We start from the raw sequence: 17,748 nt of genomic DNA, 5'->3' as shown, positions 1-17,748 counted from the left end.
CTCTGTTGCTGGTTGTCAGGGGCAGCTCCCAACCACTTCTACTGAGCAGGCTAGGATGGGTGGGGGGATTAATGAACTGTCTACCTATGCTTTCCATACCCATCCACAGAATTTCGGGCTGGACTATGATGCTTTCCAGCACATGGTGGGAGACTGTCCCCCAGATTTTCTGCAACTTACTTTCAACTGCTGTAACGTGAGTGTCTTTCTCCCTCTGCCTTTCATCAGGGGCTGGCTGAACCCTTTTCACCTGGTTAGGACTGTACAGAGAGGCTGCTAATTAGCTTCATGAGGGACCTCATTTTCACTGTAGTGACAGCAACCACACCTCCTCCTCCTCCCTCTGGCAGCTAACCTATTCAGAGCTCTGGACAAAGGAAAGAAAGAAGTTGTTTTGTATTATCTGGTCCTCAACCTGTAGGGTAGACCCATCACTCCTTGCGTTAGGTGTTGATGGAACTCTGGTCCGGTTTTATTGTTGGACTGTGGATCCAACTGGTCCTGAGGCATATGAGAAAGGCTCTTCTTGGCCTTCATGTATGTAGCTCTGGGGCTGGACCTTACCTGTTAGGATCAAGGGGTAGGTGGGCTTTGTTCAGATACCTCCCAGAAACACATTAGGAGCAGAACTCAAGAACAGAATAAACTAATATGAGCATACTTTTGGAAGGTTCTGTGACAAGGTGATAAGACAAACACTAAGACAGGGAGGGTAGTAGACAGTAGTGTTTTCCCTGACCTGAACTGTAGGGATCACCTTCATTGTCTGGGGCCTTTAGAAAAGGTCTCTCAGCTGCACATCTGAATCTTCAAAGATGCCAGAAATAGACTCAAATGCCATCTTTGGGGTGGGAGATGGAGGGCAGAGCTCATGGCTGTTGTGGATACCTACAGATGGATCCCAAACTGCGCCCATCTTTTGTGGAGATTGGGAAGACCCTGGAGGAAATTCTGAGCCGCCTACAGGAAGAAGAGCAGGAGAGGGATAGGAAGCTGCAGCCCACAGCCAGGGGTAAGAGATTAGACCAGGGAGCCCAACCTAACCCTAAGGGAGGAAATTCGGATGTGGGGCCTTCTCCTCTTAGGGTTGTGATTGCCAGGATCCCAGGTCCAGAAACAAATGGGAGGGGAAGGAGATGATGCAGAAAGTACTGGCCTTTTTAAGAGCTGTGGCTTGGCATACTGCTTCCCCTCTCTGAGTCTGTTTCTTCATTGGTAAAACAGGGCCATGGTATCAGCTTTGCTTTCATGAGTGAAAACATTCTGTGGTAAAATGCTGCTTGTATTTGTTATGACTAGTGAGAGTAACCCAGACTTGATTATTCTTCAGGACTCTTGGAGAAAGCACCTGGGGTGAAGCGACTAAGCTCACTGGATGACAAGATCCCCCACAAGTCACCATGCCCAAGACGTACCATCTGGCTGTCTCGAAGCCAGTCAGATATCTTTTCCCGTAAGCCCCCACGTACAGTGAGTGTCTTGGACCCATACTACCGGCCACGAGATGGTGCTGCCCGCACCCCCAAAGTCAACCCTTTTAGTGCTCGCCAGGACCTCATGGGGGGCAAGATCAAGTTTTTTGACCTGCCCAGCAAGTCTGTCATCTCTCTGGTATTTGACCTGGATGCACCAGGGCCCGGAACTATGCCCCTGGCTGACTGGCAGGAGCCCCTGGCCCCACCTATTCGCCGGTGGCGTTCCTTGCCTGGTTCGCCTGAGTTCTTGCATCAAGAGGCTTGTCCATTTGTGGGCCGGGAAGAATCGCTATCTGATGGGCCCCCACCACGCCTAAGTAGTCTCAAGTACAGAGTTAAAGAGATCCCACCATTCCGGGCATCTGCCCTACCAGCTGCTCAAGCCCATGAGGCTATGGACTGCTCCATTCTCCAGGAAGAAAATGGTTTTGGGTCCAGGCCCCAGGGGACCAGTCCATGCCCTGCGGGTGCTTCTGAGGAGATGGAGGTAGAAGAAAGGCCAGCAGGCTCAACTCCAGCCACCTTCTCCACCTCAGGCATAGGCCTGCAAACCCAGGGAAAGCAGGATGGGTGAGGGGGTTTAGTCCCTGCCTCACCTTGGGGATGGACCTTCAGCTGAAACCATATGGCCCCCTAGGTGCACAGCCTTGATTCTTCCCTGGAGCCTACAGAGCAGGCAGGCTAGGCCAAGCCAGGCTCAACTTCTGGGCTCCCAGTGCCCATTGGCTGTGTATGACGGGAGGCAGCAGTGAGAGGCCTTCCTAGTTAGGGCCAACAGCTGATACCAAGCCTCTGAAATCCAGCAAGGAGGTCTGCCTCCCACCAGACCCTCTCCAGTGTACTTCCCCAGATAGGACCAGAGGATGTCTAGTTCTAGGCTGAGCTGGCAGGCAGCTATTACCCCGGTTCTTTCCCCACCCCAGGTCTGTCTCTTGCCTTTTCTTGGGGCATATAAGCTACTGAGTGGAACATGGAGCTGATCAAGAGGCCGTAATGGTCATGGCTGTTTCCCAGACCTGAATATTGGGGTGCTTCTTGCCAGTATTCTAAGACATTTGAGTAATTGCTGTTTGCACTTACTGCATGGTCAGACCACGTCACTACATTTCTATGCAAGGGGACAGCAAGGCAGCGTGGTGGTCATGGCTCTTAGCTAACCTATTCAAAGACCTTTTCCTGTTGATTAATCTATTTTCATATTTATAAAGGAGTCTTAATGTTCTGCCCCATAAGACTTTCAACCTTGTGGTTGGGAGTGGGGCTGGTTTTGTAGGCCCTAGGGCCTGCTTCTATGTATTTATCAACATGTGATACATTCAATTGGTTAAATGGTTTATACAGGGACTGATTTGCTTCCCTTCCTGCCATGGCTGGAGCTTTGGGAACAGTCTGTCCTTACAGAGCTGCAATAAGAAATAACCAAAGATGAAGCTGGTCAAATATTTTCATAACTTGCTTCTGTTGATTTTTTTTTTTGTAAAACTTTCCCAAGACATTTTCAGACTTAAAAATAAAGTCAGTGTTACAGGTGCTGGTCAGCCTTCTTACTTGTACCTCAAACACTGGGATAAAGGAGGCGGTCCAGGGCAATGCAGTGATGTCTGTCAAGACATTCCCCCTCCCCTAAACTCAGTAGCAGTTGAGGATGACATTTCAGGCTAGAGAGACCCAAAATACCTCTGTTCCACCTGAGAGCAAGGTGGAAGTTGCATCAGCTACTGCCCCAAGTGAGCTTCATCTTCTGATTGTGGGCTTTGGAGGAACGAGAGAACTGGCTCTTGGCCACTGTGAGGGGTACAGCTTTGCCACTCAAATATACCTTATTGTGGCATTCAGGGAGCCAGGGTCCAGAGCTGCAGGGCTGCGGTCCCTGGCTCACTTCCACATAGGCCATCACATAACCTGTCATAAAGGCATCAAAACCAGCCCGGTGCAATCCATCCCCAGGCACTGGGTTAGGACTGGCTTGGCTCCCTGGCACTTCTGAGGTAGCTCTATCAGCTATTTCAGGCCTTGCTGCCTTAATCCCCATCTCTAAGTCATTTTTGTTGCCTTGCTTGGAGTGAGGCAGGTTCCTAGTTTCATCGGCAGCCACCTCCTGCTCGGTTTCTTCAGGCTTGATGCTATCCCCACAGACCTGCTTCTTGGGAGGACCATCCTTAGCTTCCCCAGAGGTCTGTGTCCCCGGTAGGTTCAATAAAGCCCTCTTCCGTTTTTCCCTACGTCGTCGCCGTCGCCGCTTGTCCTCTGCCGCAGCCTCATCAGTGTCAATGATAAGGTCAATATCGTGAGACTGAGGACACTGTGGTCCCAGGGGGCACCAGCCATAAGCCTAGGGGTGGGAAAGAGGCTTAGAAAGAGGCTCCAGGCATCAGAACCTTCCCTCCCAAGAAACAGGTGGGTGCTCTCACCGAGAAGTTGTCACAGATGCTGGTGGGATGAGGACGGTGGGTTGCTGGGGGCAGGCAGCAGCGGTAATCAATATGGTCCCTCATGCTGGAAGGATAGTTGCAGAACTCCAGGGTAAGGTGTGGGCTGCCAGCTGCCCGCTGCTTCCCATTTTCCCGTTCACTGCAACAGCGCAAGAGGGTAATGGTCCACTAGCATATAAGCTCCATAAGAGCAGGGTTTTGTGGTCTGTTTTGTTCACTGCTGAATCCTCAGCACCTAAAACACTGCCTGGGCACATGGTAGGAGCTCAATAAATATCTTAAGTGAATGAAATAAACTCGTATCAGGCCCCACCCCTTTCCCTCAACCATTTCCTCACCATTTCCGGAAGGCATATTCTAAGTAGGAGGCCACGAAACGGGCATGAAACTCAGCAGCATATTTGGTGTCATAAATGCCTGCTGGGAACATCTCACACAGGTCAGCGGTGAAGGTTCCCAGACTCTCAGGGAGGTGTGCATAGAAGTTCTGGTACAGGAACACCAAGTCTATAAGGCCATTGTGTAGCACCAGGGGCCGGCGGGCTCGGATTAGCTCCAGGAATAGGGTCCGTACTGACTGGCTCTGGCTCTCATCACCCTAGATGAAAGTAAAGGGGTCAATGAGGAGGACAGAGTCCCCCAGGGAGCCTCTTCTGCTGGGCACTTATCCCAGACTTCCCCACTTGGAACGCTCTCTCTCTACCTTACCCAATGCTGCCCACCCTCCTCATACCAGTCTTGTTTCCCAAGCCCTGTCACTAGTGATTCCCCATACTCCCTAAGAAGCAGATTCTCCCCAGACATCCAGCCTAGGGTAGGAAGAAATAAAGTCACAGAAAGGGCAGACTCAAGGCTAGGGAGGCTAGAGGCCTACCTTGTCATTGCCCTTATGGTAGGGGATGCCTTGGGCATACTGCTGGTTGAAGTTGAAGCCATGCTGTATCAGGAACTGCACAGACTTTGGTTCTATGACATACTCCTCCATGCACAGCAGAGTGAGATTGAACACTTGAGCCAGATAGGAATGTTCACCCTGGGAGAAAGAGAAGTCTGCTATATCAAGATTTCAGAGAGCCAAGCTAGGAGGATGCAAAAGCTTAAGAATGATACAATGGACTCTGGGGACTCAGGGGGGAAAGGATGGAGGCAGGTGAGGGATAAAAGACTACGCATTGGGCACAGTGTACACTGGGTGATAGGTGCACCAAAATCTCAGAAATTGCCACTAAAGAACTTACTCATTTAACCAAACACCACCTGTTCCCCATAAACCTATTCAAATAAAAAAAAAAAAACTATCAAGTCAAAAAAAAAGATTTGGGAGAGAAATGCTTCCTATCTGATGTTCCCTAGAATCTCTCTACCCTCCACCCCACAGCCACACCTAGGATTGGGGTGAGATCAGCTCATACCTTGTCTGGCTGCCGCTTGAAGCAGGCGAGGCCCAGGGAAAGGATAGAACGGGTCCTGGCAGCATGACACACGGCCTTGTAACGTTCCTCAATGCACCTTGGGGTTGGGTATGGGGGTTGCTGTGGCTAGGAGTTAGCCTTATGAAGGACCCAAACCACCCAGGTCTGTGACCCCCCCACTCCACAGTTGAGGGCTGGCACTAAAGAGAAAAGGGCTTATACTTACTGGTTCAGCAAACTCTTCCTGTCCCCAAGCCCACTCAGCTCCTGTGGGTAGGTAAAGGGAGAGTTGTGACAGGCCTCTAGCACCAGCCCCTTCACAACCACCTGCCCTCCTTGTTTCCCAACTCTCACCGTGTCCACAGCCACGAAATTAGCTGTCTTTATGGCTAGCAGGAGGGATGGCCACATCTCCTTGAAGTTGTTGCTTTGCACATCCACTACGGGAACCTGGACTACTAGCTCCTCCCCAGATGTTGTGCTTTTGCTGACACCACCTGGGGGTTAGGAGGGTGATGGATGTTCATGCTTAAGGAAAGAGCCCAGGGGAACAGACACCAAGCTAGGCCACGGTGATGGTGGTAAGGGGGGTAGTTTCCATTGGTAGCTTTTCCCACAAGCCTTTGTAACCCACGTGTTCTACACACAGGCCTTGGAGTGGAGAATGCCCTGAATTTGGGGAGAGGAAGCCTGAGTCTTCTACTGGCTTGTATGAGCCTGGGTAAATTACTTCCCACCTCGCTTTCACAATCTGTAGAGGAGAAAGTTGGACTAGACGACCTTTGATTCTTTTTTCCCATGTCCTGCAGGAAACATTTTGTAGGGCTTGAGGATCTCAGCTCCCTTAATATCCCACAGGGATCCATACTACTGTTCTCATGGTGCCCCAGCGCCACAAGCAACAGCTCCCAGTAAGCCCCAGAGCCTGGCAGTGCCCCACACCAGAGCTCCCAATACGTCCTACCTTCCTTTGGATCACAACGCTCAATCCACTCCACTGAACTGAATCACAACTATTACTACTAACCGTTATGAGCTCCAGACTACATCTCCCGCCATGCCTCCATCAGCCCCATGCTCCCAACGCTCCAGGCTTTTGCAGCCGGAGCCGCGGTGTACAACGGAACTTGTAGTCTCCTCGTGGCTAGTTCAGGCGGAAGGAGCAGTCCTCTGAAGCTTGAGGAGCCTCTAGAACTATGAGCCCGAGGCCTTCCCCTCTCCCAGAGCGCAGAGGCTTTGAAGGCTACCTCTGGGAAGCCGCTCACCGTCGGAAGCTGCGGGAGCTGAAACTGCGCCATCGTCACTGTCGGCGGCCATGACACCGCTCGTCTCCCGCCTGAGTCGTCTGTGGGTACGCTGGACTTGCGGTCCGTCTCCTGGCGCGGTTCAGGCAGTCGGGGATGGGGCGGGGTCTCGCCGTCGGGTCGCCGATGGGTCGAACTTCCGTTCAGACGTCCCGGGTCCGGCGCGGGGAAGGCAGCCTGGCGCGCGCTAATTGCCTATTGGCCTGTGCTGCCGGCTCGCAGCCCGGGTGGACCCGAGCCACGCCCCCTGGAGTGCGCCGGAAAGCCGGGCGCGCTAGAGCTCGCGGGAGGTAATCTTTCTCTCCTGCTCTCGCGGCGGGAACGCGGGGCCTCCGTGTTCTGCTGTCTTCATCAGCGTGGGCCGCGGGTAGCGGGTAGTGGGGTGGCTGGGTTTGGGCTTTCCAGAGAAGGTGACGCTGCCTGAGCTGAGCTTAAAGCACGCCCAGGAGTTAGACTAGGAGAGGGTCGTGTGGGGGAAAGAAGGGCGTTCTGGGCATCGGTAAATTCCCAGAGAGGATGGAGAGCTCAGTGATCTCCAGAAAGTGAAAGAGGCGGGGAGTGGGCCATCGGAGGAGGCTGCCCAGGGTGTAAGAGCGACCGATTGGTAGGGAAGCTTTTGTAATAATCCAATCAAGTGATAATGTGAACTTGAATTAAGGCTGGCAGTATGGATGGCGAGGAAGGGACAAATTGTGAAGCAGCTAGGCGGTATAGTCGACCTAGAGGGTGATTGAATTTGAAAGAGGTTCCTAGGCCGGGCGCGGTGGCTCACGCCTGTAATCCCAGCACTTTGGGAGGCCGAGGCGGGCGGATTACCTGAGGTCCGGAGTTCAAAACCAGCCTGGCCAACATGGTGAAACCCCGTCTCTACTAAAAGTACAAAAAAAATTAGCTGGGTATGGTGCGGGCGCCTGTAATCCCACTACTTGGGAGGCTGAGGCAGGAGAATCGCTTGAACCTGGGAGGCAGAGGTTGCGGTGAGCCGAGATCACGCCATTTTGCACTTCAGCCTAGGCAACAAGAGCGAAACTCCGTCTCAAAAAAAAAAAAAAAAAAAAAATTCCTATTGGAGACTAGTCCCTCCGTAAACACTACGATTCCCATCCACCTCTGCCTTCCAGTGCTCCTTTGTTACTCATTGTTTATAGTTAATCTTCAGCTTCTCTCAACTGAGCCCATTTCATCATTATTCAGAACTGCTTGGGCCGGGCGCAGTGGCTTATGGCCTGTAATCATCTTAGGAGGCCAAGGTGGGAGGATCGCTTGACCCTAGGAGTTCAAGACTAGCCTGGGCAACATAGTGAAACCTTGTCTCTACAAAAAGAAAATTAAAAATTAGTTGGGCATGGTGGTGCGCACCTGTAGTCCCAGCTACAGGAGGCTGAGGTGAGAGGATGGCTTGAGCCCAGGAGGTCGAGGCTGCAGTGAGCCATGTTCTTATTGCACTCCAGCCTGAGTGGCAGAGCAGCAAAGTGAGGGACACACTGTCTCTAAAAACAAAACAAACAAACAAAAAAAAAACAAAAATAAAAAAACTCTTTGGATTTCTCCTATCCTAAAAAAGGGAAACTCTTTTGACTATCCCCCATCCCATTAATTCATTTAACAGGTATCTATTGTGTACAGTTTACCTGGCACTGACTTTGGACACACACCAATCAACAAGAGAATCAGTCCTTGCACTCAAGTCGTTTTTTACAGTCAAATTCAGGAAGTACACACTGATGGAAAGAATCAAAGTAATGTAAAATTACATTAGGTAAGAGCTACAAGGCAGAAATATGTGATAGGATAAGATGAGGGGACCTGATTTGGACATTTCAGTCAAGACTTGAAAAATGATAAGGTGTTAGGTAAAAGCATAAAAGAGTCCAAACAGAGGAAATGGATTGTGTGAGGCCCCAAGGTGGGCAGACACACTTGAGGTGTTTAAGCAACTAAATTCAGTCAACCTTGGCTAGAGCATAGTGAGGGGATGAGGCGGATGGTGCCCGGATCACTGGACCTGCAAGGCTGTAGTAAGAGGACTGCCTTCTAAGAGCAAGGGTGTGGCAGCCAAATCCCTCCAATGGCCTATAAGGTACTTTGTGACCCTCCTCTCCCCACCTCATCTGGTTTACTTCTCTGACCTCTTCTACCACTCAGTCCCATCTCATTCCATTCTAACCACATTGACCTACTTACTGTACCACAGACATACCAGGCACCCTCCTTGGGGCCTTTGCACTCACTTAGAATGCTTTGGGTCTACCTTGACCACAGTCTTTAAAATTGCAACATTAAACCCCACCTTGGCACTCTTTTTTTTCCCCTCTTGGTCTAATTTTTGCTTTTTATGCTAATATTTATCACCTAACATCTTATGGAATTTACTTATGTTCATTATTCCTTTTCTGTCCCCATTAGAATATAAGCTCCCTGAGGGCAGGAACTTTTGATGTTTTATTTACTGAAGTATGCCAAGTGCCTAAAACTGCTTGGCACATATTAGGGGGCTCTATAAATATTTGCTCAATCTTTTTTTTTCTTTAAGAGACAAGGTCTTGCTGAGCCCAGGGTGGAGTGCAGTGGCACAATCATAGCTCACTGCAGCCTCGACCTTCTGGGCTCAAGCTGTTCTTCACTTCAGCCTCCAGAGTAGCAGGATTACAGTGTTGAGCCACCACAACCAGCTTGCTCAAGAATTTAATGACCCATAGTAAAGGCCTACAGTATTTAAAAAAGAAAGAAAAAGGAAAAAAGGAAGGAAGGAAAGAGGGAGGGAGAAAAAAAGAGAAAAGAAAGAAAATAAAAGAATATAATGGGGTGTCACCAGGCGCCGTGGCTCATGCCTGTATCCCAGCACTTTGGGAGGCCGAGGCGGGTTGATTGCTTGAGCTCTGGAGGTGGAGACTAGCCTGGGCAACATGGTGAAACCCTGTCTCTAACAAAAATACAAAAATTAGCTGGATGTGGTGGTGGTGTGCGCCTGTGGTCCCAGCTGCTTGGAGTTGGGGTGGGGTATTGGGGTGGGAGGATTGCTTGAGCCGAGGAAGCAGAGGTTGCAGTGAGCCAAGATCACACCACTGCACTCCAGCCTGGGTGACAGAGTGAGACCCCATCCCAAAAAAAAAAAAAAGAATGGGAAACCATTGAAGGTTATAAGGAAGGAAGTGACGTGATCTGGAAAAGATTCCTTTGCTCTTTGGAGAATAGATTGTAGAATGAATGTGGAAGTAAGCAGGTTTGGTGAAGGAAGTTTGGCTATGAAGGGAAGGAGGGTGGGATTTGATTGTGTTACGAGCCAAGGGGAAAATCTTTCCCTTTGCCCTCTGAAGATCTGCTGAAAAATCAGCTCACAAAAGGCAGGTTAACTGGAGAAAAGGCATACAAATTTATTAACATGCACATTGGGAGAACCATAAAGTGATTACCCATCTCCCTACAGAGTTCGTGAGTTTATATACCATCTGGCAAAACAGATTATGGGAGGGGTGTCTCACGTGTGTCCATGTGAAGAGACCACCAAACAGGCTTTGTCTGAGCAACAAGGCTGTTTATTTCACCTGGGTGCAGACAGGCTGAGTCTGAAAAAAAGGAGTCAGCAAAGGGTGGTGGAATTATCATTAGTTCTTATAGGTTTTGGGATAGGCATTGGAGTTAAGAGCAATGTTTTGGGGGCAGGGGGTGGATCTCACAAAGTACATTCTCAAGGGTGGGGAGATTATAAAGAACCTTCTTAAGGGTGGGGGGGAGATTACCAAGTACATTGATCAGTTAGCGTGGGGCAGAAACAAATCACAGTGGTGGAATGTGATCAGTTAAGGCTATTTTCACTTCTTTTGTAGATCTTCAGTTGCTTCAGGCCATCTGGATGTATAAGTGCAGGTTACTGAGGATATGATGGCTTAGCTTGGGCTCAGAGGCCTGACAAGGGGTAGAAGAGAAATTCTGTTTTTCTGTTTTTGTAGAGACGGGGTCTTGCTATGTTGCAAGCCTAATCTCGAACTCCTGGGCTCAAGTAATCCTCCTGCCTTGGCCTCCCAAAGTGCTGGGATTACAGGCCTGAGCCAGCATGTCCAGCTCTATTTGTTTTTAAATAAACCGAACTTTGGCCAGAAGGAGATTCTGTTGAAGGGCAATAAAGGATTACTAGAGAGAATGGAATGGGGACAGAGGTTGACTTGTTAATAGTTCTCTTTGGAATTTGAGTGATCCTGAGGTACACAATACCTGTGAAAGGGTTTGTTCAGGTGTGGTTACATGTTAGTCTTATTGGGAGGGGAAGAAAAAACAAGTATTCTTTTTAGTGAGTTTGGACTTTAGGCAGATAAAGAGTTCCAGAGAACAACTTTATCCTGGCTTTGGGAGAGTCTGGGGTGGAAGGATCAGAGAGACCTTGCGGCTTCTTGAGTTCAGCATGTCAGAGGGCCATATTTTGGGGTATTGGTTTCTTTTCTTTTCTTTTTTTTTGAGACAGAGTCTTGCTCTGTCTTTGTTGCCCAGGCTGTGCAGTGGCATGATCTCAGCTCACTGCAAGCTCTGCCTCCTGGGTTCAAGCGAGCACGTCTGGCTAATTTTTTTGGATTTTTAGTAGAGATGGGGTTTCGCCATGTTGGCCAGGCTGGTCTCGAACTCCTGGCCTCAAGTGATCTGCCTGCCTTAGCCTCCCGCAGTGTTGGGATTACAGGCATGAGCCACCGTGCCTGGCCTGGGGTATTAGTTTCTGAGTTCCAACAGTTAGACGGGATTGGAGGAGCAGGACCCTGAAGAGGAGGAGGGTAAGACAGTGCAAATGGAGGTAGATTTGAAGTTGGTTTTTTTTTTTCTGAAGGAGGAGGCAAGCTCTTTTGATGAAAATGAGGTGGTAAAGTCAAAGGTTTGGGGGGAGAGTTTGATACAGAGGCTTAGCAGGGACTGCATTTTATCACAGTATAAGAATGCTGGTCGTGGATTTGAAAGAACAAGTCGCTTAATCTCCATAAACCTCAATTTCCTTATAACTAAGGTGGAGGTGATACTAGTACATACCTCATAGAGTCACCAGGAGATTGAGAGATCCGGTAAAGCTCTTCATGGGGTCTGACATAGAGTAGGCACTCACAAAATATCAACTAATTTTAGCTGTTAGAGAAAAGGCGGCCATTATAACAGTTAGGGAGCAGTGAAAATCAACCAGGCACATTTTCTCATTGTTGATGGTCAGCCACCTATGGTTTACTAGATTAGGAATAAAAATAGCTAATCTCTGTTCTCCCACTGATTTGCCATCTGTTCTCAGACAGATCTTTTGTCCCTCTGATCCTTGGTTTCTTCTAGGATAAAATGAAGGTTTTGGACTTAATGACTACTACAGGCTGTTTCAGTGTAACCATGCTACATCTCTAAGAGGCAGAGAAACCGCCTACCCCCATTCTCCCAGACACACCTAAACAACCCCTATCCACACACACAGTCACAGTAAGCATCAGAGATACACAAATGCTCCCAAACAGGAGGCTTTCATCCTTGACCCATCCCAGCCCTGGCCTCACAGTCTTTGCATGTCTCCAGGGCTGTAACGCCGGCCCCCTTGAGGCCACTTGCTCAGCTATACTAGTTGTATCTCAGTGCTGCAGCCAGCCAAGAGTAAACCCGTGAGCATCTTGAGAGTGCTTGAGAGAAGCTGGACCCCATGTGAATGGTGGATGAGAGGGAGATAGCTATCACCCTTGGAAGGCCTCAAAATTTGGCCTCATTGTGACTGACTGCTTTGGCTGGGTCTTTTTGTTTCAGGCCATCATGAGGAAGCCACGAGCAGCCGTGGGAAGTGGTCACAGGAAGCAGGCAGCCAGCCAGGAAGGGAGGCAGAAGCATGCTAAGAACAACAGTCAGGCCAAGCCTTCTGCCTGTGATGGTAAGGAACTAGGTTGTGGCCCAAGGCTCATTGGCCATGAAAGGCAGATTCAGGCTGGGAAGGGATTGTGATACGTATCAAGACATTAAGAGACTTACTAAGGGCCAGGTGCGGTGGCTCACACCTGTAATCCCAGCACTTTGGGAGGCCGAGGCAGGTGGATCCCTTGAGCCCAGGAGTTTGAGACCAGCTTGGGTAACATGGCGAAATCCCCTCTCTATGCTCGCGTGGTGGTGAGCGTCTGTAGTCCCAGCTACTCGGGAAGCTGAGGTGACAGGATCGCTTGAGCCTGGAAGGCAGAAGTTGCACTGAGTCAAGATAATGCAACTGCATTTCAGTCTGGGCAACAGAGCCAGACTCTTGTCTCAAAACAAAAGAGACTCACTGAGGGTGTAATTCTGACTGTATTGCTGTGTGACATTGGGACAATTGCTCTGAATGGCTGCTTTCTTACCAGTAAAATGGAGCAGTAGTTCAGCATTTCCTCCCTCATGTGGCTTTCATGGGACCAAATGAGTTTATGAGCCTGAAAGTGTTTTGTGAATAGGAAGGTCCTGCACCAGTATACATTCTAGCTGGCTAAAACTATTAGGTTTTCATTATGGCTCAGAGACAAGCCAGTAGTACCACCCTGAGAAAATTAAGGCCAGAAACTTAGCCACAGCTACACACAATTACATAACTCTGGTCTGACTCCAGCTCCAAAGCTTAAGGGGGTTAGTTGGGGGAAGCCCTAAGTGGGAGCATACTGCCACAGGCTGCTGTGTCCCAAGACCCTGATGCACAGCCTGTGCAGGGATGATTGCTGAGTGTCCTGGGGCCCCAGCAGGCCTGGCCAGGCAGCCGGAAGAGGTGGTATTGCAGGCCTCTGTCTCCTCATACCATCTATTCAGAGACGTAGCTGAAGTCACAGCCTTCCGAGGGAGCCTGCTAAGCTGGTACGACCAAGAGAAACGGGACCTACCATGGAGAAGACGGGTAGGCAGGCGAGGAGCAGGGACAGTGGGTGGGAGGCAGGCACCCAGCCCCCTCCACCCTAACTCCTCATCTGGGGTTGCATTGACAGGCAGAAGATGAGATGGACCTGGACAGGCGGGCATATGCTGGTCAGTACATCTCCTGAGAGCAGGGCCACTTTGCCTCGAGGCCCTTGGGTCTGGGGGCTGTGGGCCAGGTAGGGGCAGGTCAGCAGTGTCCTCATGCCAACCCCTTTCCCCCAGTGTGGGTCTCAGAGGTCATGCTGCAGCAGACCCAGGTTGCCACTGTGATCAACTACTATACCGGATGGATGCAGGTGACTCCAGGGGAGGAAGGGAAGGGTCATGGGTCAGACCCCAGATGAGAGCCTCTACTTTGGGGTGGGTGTAGAGAAGGCTTCCTCTACCACCTTCACCCTTGACCTTGTCTCTTTCTGCCTGCCTGTGGCTATAGAAGTGGCCTACACTGCAGGACCTGGCCAGTGCTTCCCTGGAGGTGAGAGCCACCCTAGGGTAGGGGAAATAGGAACAATAGAGGGACTGACGGGTGATCTCTTTGACCTCTGATCCTACCCACAGGAGGTGAATCAACTCTGGGCTGGCCTGGGCTACTATTCTCGTGGCCGGCGGCTGCAGGAGGGAGCTCGGAAGGTAAGGGGATGGCAGGAGGGTAGGAACCCAGGAGTCTTGGGTGTCTTATAATCTTGAGTCTTGCACTCCAATCAGGTGGTAGAGGAGCTAGGGGGCCACATGCCACGTACAGCAGAGACCCTGCAGCAGCTCCTGCCTGGCGTGGGGCGCTACACAGCTGGGGCCATTGCCTCTATCGCCTTTGGCCAGGTGATCTCACAGCCCACCCCCACTTTGTGCGTGCCCAGCCTCCTTCCTCCCAGCCCAGGCTAACTCTTTGGCCCCTCTGTGCCAGGCAACCGGTGTGGTGGATGGCAACGTAGCACGGGTGCTGTGCCGTGTCCGAGCCATTGGTGCTGATCCCAGCAGCACCCTTGTTTCCCAGCAGCTCTGGTAGGATGTTGGGGTAACAAGGGTGCTTCAGGGGTGTCTGCAAAGGAGCTCTGCTTCACAGCAGTGTTCCCTTCTTTTAGGGGTCTAGCCCAGCAGCTGGTGGACCCAGCCCGGCCAGGAGATTTCAACCAAGCAGCCATGGAGCTAGGGGCCACAGTGTGTACCCCACAGCGCCCACTGTGCAGCCAGTGCCCTGTGGAGAGCCTGTGCCGGGCACGCCAGAGAGTAAGCCTACTGGGGAAGGGGCAGTGAGAAGTCCTAAGGAGTGACTCTGCCCTATGACACTCAACCCTGTGCCTCTCAGGTGGAGCAGGAACAGCTCTTAGCCTCAGGGAGCCTGTCGGGCAGTCCTGACGTGGAGGAGTGTGGTGAGCACCAAACCTAGCCCCCACCCCAACCCTTCCTGGCCCAGTCAGAAGCCCCATTCCAGTTCTTCCTCTAACCTGAGTAAGATTCTGCAGAACCCGGCCAAAGCCCACTCTCTAGGTTGGCCCCTAAAGCCCTCTTGGCTTGAGTAGGGTTCGGGGATCTCCGTTCCCAGCTCCCAACACTGGACAGTGCCACCTGTGCCTGCCTCCCTCGGAGCCCTGGGACCAGACCCTGGGAGTGGTCAACTTCCCCAGAAAGGCCAGCCGCAAGCCCCCCAGGGAGGAGAGCTCTGCCACCTGTGTTCTGGAACAGCCTGGGGCCCTTGGGGCCCAAATTCTGCTGGTGCAGAGGCCCAACTCAGGTACCTGGATACTGGGCGTGGAGGGCAGTGGCATGAGTAACAAGAGAGAATGGAGGGAATCGGCAGCTGAGGCCTGACCCCTGCCTGGCTGCCCTCCCTCTCAGGTCTGCTGGCAGGACTGTGGGAGTTCCCGTCCGTGACCTGGGAGCCCTCAGAGCAGCTTCAGCGCAAGGCCCTGCTGCAGGAACTACAGCGTTGGGCTGGGCCCCTCCCAGCCACGCACCTCCGGCACCTTGGGGAGGTAAGTGAGCAGCGGAATAGCCAAGGATGTTGGCTTTTGAGGCTATATCCACAGGCCTATTTGAACCCCTTGACCCTTCCTCCAGGTTGTCCACACCTTCTCTCACATCAAGCTGACATATCAAGTATATGGGCTGGCCTTGGAAGGGCAGACCCCAGTGACCACCGTACCACCAGGTGCTCGCTGGCTGACGCAGGAGGAATTTCACACCGCAGCTGTTTCCACCGCCATGAAAAAGGCACTACCTTTGTTGTCTTTGTTGTACTTCCTTGTGTTTCCTACATGTTCTACATGAATATATTACTGTGTAAACAGGAAAAAAAGCATTTTTTTTTGAGACGGAGAATCGCTCTGTTGCCCAGGCTGGAGTGCAATGGCGCTATCTCGGTTGACTGCAACCTCCATCTCCCGGGTTCAAGTGATTCTCCTGCCTCAGCTTCCTGAGTAGCTCGGATTACAGGCGCCCGCCACCATGCCTGGCTAATTTTTGTATTTTTAGTAGAGATGAGGTTTCACCATGCTGGCCAGGCTGGTCTCCAACTCTTGACCTCAAGTGATCCGCCCGCCTCAGCCTCCCAGAATGCTGGGATTACAGGTGTGAGCTACCACACCCAGCCATGATTTTTTGTATTTTTAGAGATGGGGTTTCACCATGTTGGCCAGGCTGGTCTCAAACTCCTGGCCTCAAGTGATCCACCCGACTTGGCCTCCCAAAATGCTGGGATTATAGGCGTGAGCCACCATGCCTGGCCAAAAAAGCATATTTTAAACAAAAGTACTGGGACATGAAGTTAAGGGCAGAACACCGGTTTATCTCTTTTGCAAAAAGTGCCAGCCCTCACCTCCCTGTCTTCTTGTCTAGGTTTTCCGTGTGTATCAGGGCCAACAGCCAGGGACCTGTATGGTAAGTCTCCTAGGCCTCTCCCAACCGTGTCTCCCCAGGCCTGAGTCCATAGGTTTTTAGTCAGTTAACTAACGAATGTCTGGGTGAACATTCTCCACTCCAGGCTTCACTGGAGGGAGGAATAGTTCTTGACCTGGAGACCTTCCATTGTGGGGTGCAGGGTAGAGGGAAAGGAAAAAAATGATGAGGACTCTCCAGTGTCACAGGTGTGTGAAATGCCTGTACTGAGTTTTGTGGGATATGAATTGTGGAGCCATCAGTTCTTTTTTTTTTTTTTTTTTTTTTTTGAGACAGTCTCACTGTCACCCAAGCTAGAGTGCAGTGGCCCGATCTCGGCTCACTGCAATCTCCCACAACTGGATTAAAGCGATTCTCCTGCCTCAGTCTCCCAAGTAGCTGGGATTACAGGTGCCTGCTACCACACCCAACTAATTTTTGTATTTTTAGTAGAGACAGGGTTTCACCATGTTGACTAGGCTGGTCTCGAACTCCTGACCTCAAGTGATCTGCCCATCTTGGCCTCCCAAAGTGCTGGGATTACAGGCGTGAGCCACCACACCCATCCATGGGAGCTATCAGTTCTAATTGGGAGACGGATCAGGAAAGGCTGTTTGGAGGAAGCAGCTGGTAATCTTCGTCCTAGAAATGAATCCTTTTCTTCAGGTTTGGGAGGGGAATCAACCGTAGCGATGTTCTTTCCAGTCCCAAGAGTAGTGTGAGCAAAGGTGGAGCCCAGTGCAGGCTGCAGTGCTCAAGGAGCTGTGAGCAGTTGGTTTAGCTGGAAAGGTCAGCAGGGCCTGCTGGGTCAGTCAGGGTGTGAGCCCTAGGCTGCTGACTCATTTTAGGTGGAGGAGAGAGGAGTCAGATTTGCATTTTTAGGACAATTCGATTCCCTCAGGCAGCCTTTTGGAGGGTTGATTGATGGGGCAGATACTTGAGGCAGGATGAAAGCTCTACAGCATTCCAGGCTAAGCCTAGCTAGATCAGTAGAGTCGGGGAAAGGGAGAGAGGACAAGGAGAGGATTCTCTGCTCCCCCTCCCCCAACTACAAGGCCTCCCTCCTTCCATTTTTTCACAGGGTTCCAAAAGGTCCCAGGTGTCCTCTCCGTGCAGTCGGAAAAAGCCCCGCATGGGCCAGCAAGTCCTGGATAATTTCTTTCGGTCTCACATCTCCACTGATGCACACAGCCTCAACAGTGCAGCCCAGTGACACCTCTGAAAGCCCCCATTCCCTGAGAATCCTGTTGTTAGTAAAGTGCTTATTTTTGTAGTTATTTTATGTTGTATTTTTTTGAGATGGGGGTCTCGCTATGTTGCTCAGACTGGTTTCGAACTCAGGTGATTCTGGCCTCAAGTGATTCTCCCACTTCAGCCT

The 17,748-nt window shown here is 51.0% G+C and overlaps 3 protein-coding genes across 63 annotated transcripts in view, besides 5 other annotated features; 2 read left to right on the top strand and 1 right to left on the bottom strand.

Annotated features, from left to right (window-relative positions):
• TESK2 (testis associated actin remodelling kinase 2) overlaps positions 1-3,006 on the top strand; it is a 147,281-nt gene extending 144,275 nt beyond the window's left edge. For both annotated transcript variants that reach the window (NM_001320800.2, NM_007170.3), the window contains 3 exons: positions 110-196; positions 895-1,012; positions 1,331-3,006. In NM_001320800.2, the coding sequence (NP_001307729.1) occupies positions 110-196; positions 895-1,012; positions 1,331-2,049 (924 nt within the window). In that variant the 3' untranslated portion in view covers positions 2,050-3,006. The remainder of the gene's footprint in view (positions 1-109; positions 197-894; positions 1,013-1,330) is intronic.
• Positions 2,916-6,719, bottom strand: TOE1 (target of EGR1, exonuclease). Of its 6 annotated transcripts, none has more exons than XM_005270413.6 (8): positions 6,347-6,719; positions 5,674-5,816; positions 5,546-5,586; positions 5,320-5,416; positions 4,782-4,940; positions 4,246-4,505; positions 3,887-4,046; positions 2,916-3,807 (listed from the first exon to the last, which is right to left on the bottom strand). In XM_005270413.6, the coding sequence occupies exons 2-8, from the start codon at positions 5,728-5,730 to the stop codon at positions 3,187-3,189; spliced, it is 1,395 nt and encodes a 464-aa protein (XP_005270470.1). In that variant the 5' UTR covers positions 5,731-5,816; positions 6,347-6,719; the 3' UTR covers positions 2,916-3,186. The 6 variants fall into 6 exon arrangements, with proteins under 6 accessions (XP_005270470.1, XP_005270469.1, NP_079353.3 ...); XM_005270412.5 differs by having other exon boundaries at positions 6,567-6,719; NM_025077.4 differs by having other exon boundaries at positions 6,585-6,719.
• Positions 5,394-6,060: an enhancer, noted in NCBI's record as "H3K27ac hESC enhancer chr1:45806501-45807167 (GRCh37/hg19 assembly coordinates)". NCBI's record gives its function as "activates a minimal SCP1, AML or CMV promoter by ChIP-STARR-seq in naive H9 embryonic stem cells {active_cell/tissue: H9 hESC(naive)}" and the evidence as "EXISTENCE:reporter gene assay evidence [ECO:0000049][PMID:30033119]".
• Positions 6,061-6,729: an enhancer, noted in NCBI's record as "OCT4-NANOG-H3K27ac-H3K4me1 hESC enhancer chr1:45805832-45806500 (GRCh37/hg19 assembly coordinates)". NCBI's record gives its function as "activates a minimal SCP1, AML or CMV promoter by ChIP-STARR-seq in primed H9 embryonic stem cells {active_cell/tissue: H9 hESC(primed)}" and the evidence as "EXISTENCE:reporter gene assay evidence [ECO:0000049][PMID:30033119]".
• Positions 6,359-6,708: an enhancer, noted in NCBI's record as "active region_966". NCBI's record gives its function as "activates an Ori minimal core promoter by ATAC-STARR-seq in GM12878 lymphoblastoid cells {active_cell/tissue: GM12878}" and the evidence as "EXISTENCE:reporter gene assay evidence [ECO:0000049][PMID:35858748]".
• MUTYH (mutY DNA glycosylase) lies at positions 6,449-17,647 on the top strand. Of its 55 annotated transcripts, none has more exons than NR_176269.1 (17): positions 6,449-6,666; positions 12,378-12,498; positions 13,328-13,476; positions 13,565-13,604; positions 13,719-13,792; positions 13,930-13,971; positions 14,055-14,126; positions 14,202-14,315; positions 14,401-14,498; positions 14,579-14,723; positions 14,803-14,866; positions 15,040-15,228; positions 15,333-15,469; positions 15,555-15,707; positions 16,332-16,373; positions 16,821-17,000; positions 17,452-17,647. NR_176269.1 is itself a non-coding variant. In NM_001407081.1 (17 exons), exons 3-17 carry the CDS (start codon positions 12,384-12,386, stop codon positions 17,581-17,583), a joined length of 1,566 nt encoding a protein of 521 aa, NP_001394010.1. In that variant the 5' UTR covers positions 6,769-6,913; positions 8,233-8,382; positions 12,378-12,383; the 3' UTR covers positions 17,584-17,647. The 55 variants fall into 55 exon arrangements, 48 of the variants coding, with proteins under 48 accessions (NP_001394001.1, XP_016856821.1, NP_001280121.1 ...); NR_176274.1 differs by having other exon boundaries at positions 6,449-6,670; positions 13,392-13,476; NR_146882.2 differs by having other exon boundaries at positions 6,449-6,670.
• Positions 6,730-7,397: an enhancer, noted in NCBI's record as "NANOG-H3K27ac-H3K4me1 hESC enhancer chr1:45805164-45805831 (GRCh37/hg19 assembly coordinates)". NCBI's record gives its function as "activates a minimal SCP1, AML or CMV promoter by ChIP-STARR-seq in primed H9 embryonic stem cells {active_cell/tissue: H9 hESC(primed)}" and the evidence as "EXISTENCE:reporter gene assay evidence [ECO:0000049][PMID:30033119]".
• Positions 16,500-17,434: an enhancer, noted in NCBI's record as "NANOG-H3K27ac hESC enhancer chr1:45795127-45796061 (GRCh37/hg19 assembly coordinates)". NCBI's record gives its function as "activates a minimal SCP1, AML or CMV promoter by ChIP-STARR-seq in naive H9 embryonic stem cells {active_cell/tissue: H9 hESC(naive)}" and the evidence as "EXISTENCE:reporter gene assay evidence [ECO:0000049][PMID:30033119]".

The sequence above is a fragment of the Homo sapiens genome, chromosome 1, assembly GCF_000001405.40.
Source record: "Homo sapiens chromosome 1, GRCh38.p14 Primary Assembly".
In the NCBI taxonomy this organism is placed as follows: Eukaryota; Metazoa; Chordata; class Mammalia; order Primates; family Hominidae; genus Homo; species Homo sapiens.
Note: the sequence above shows the minus strand (reverse complement) of the source record. Positions and strands in the feature narration are given on the sequence as shown.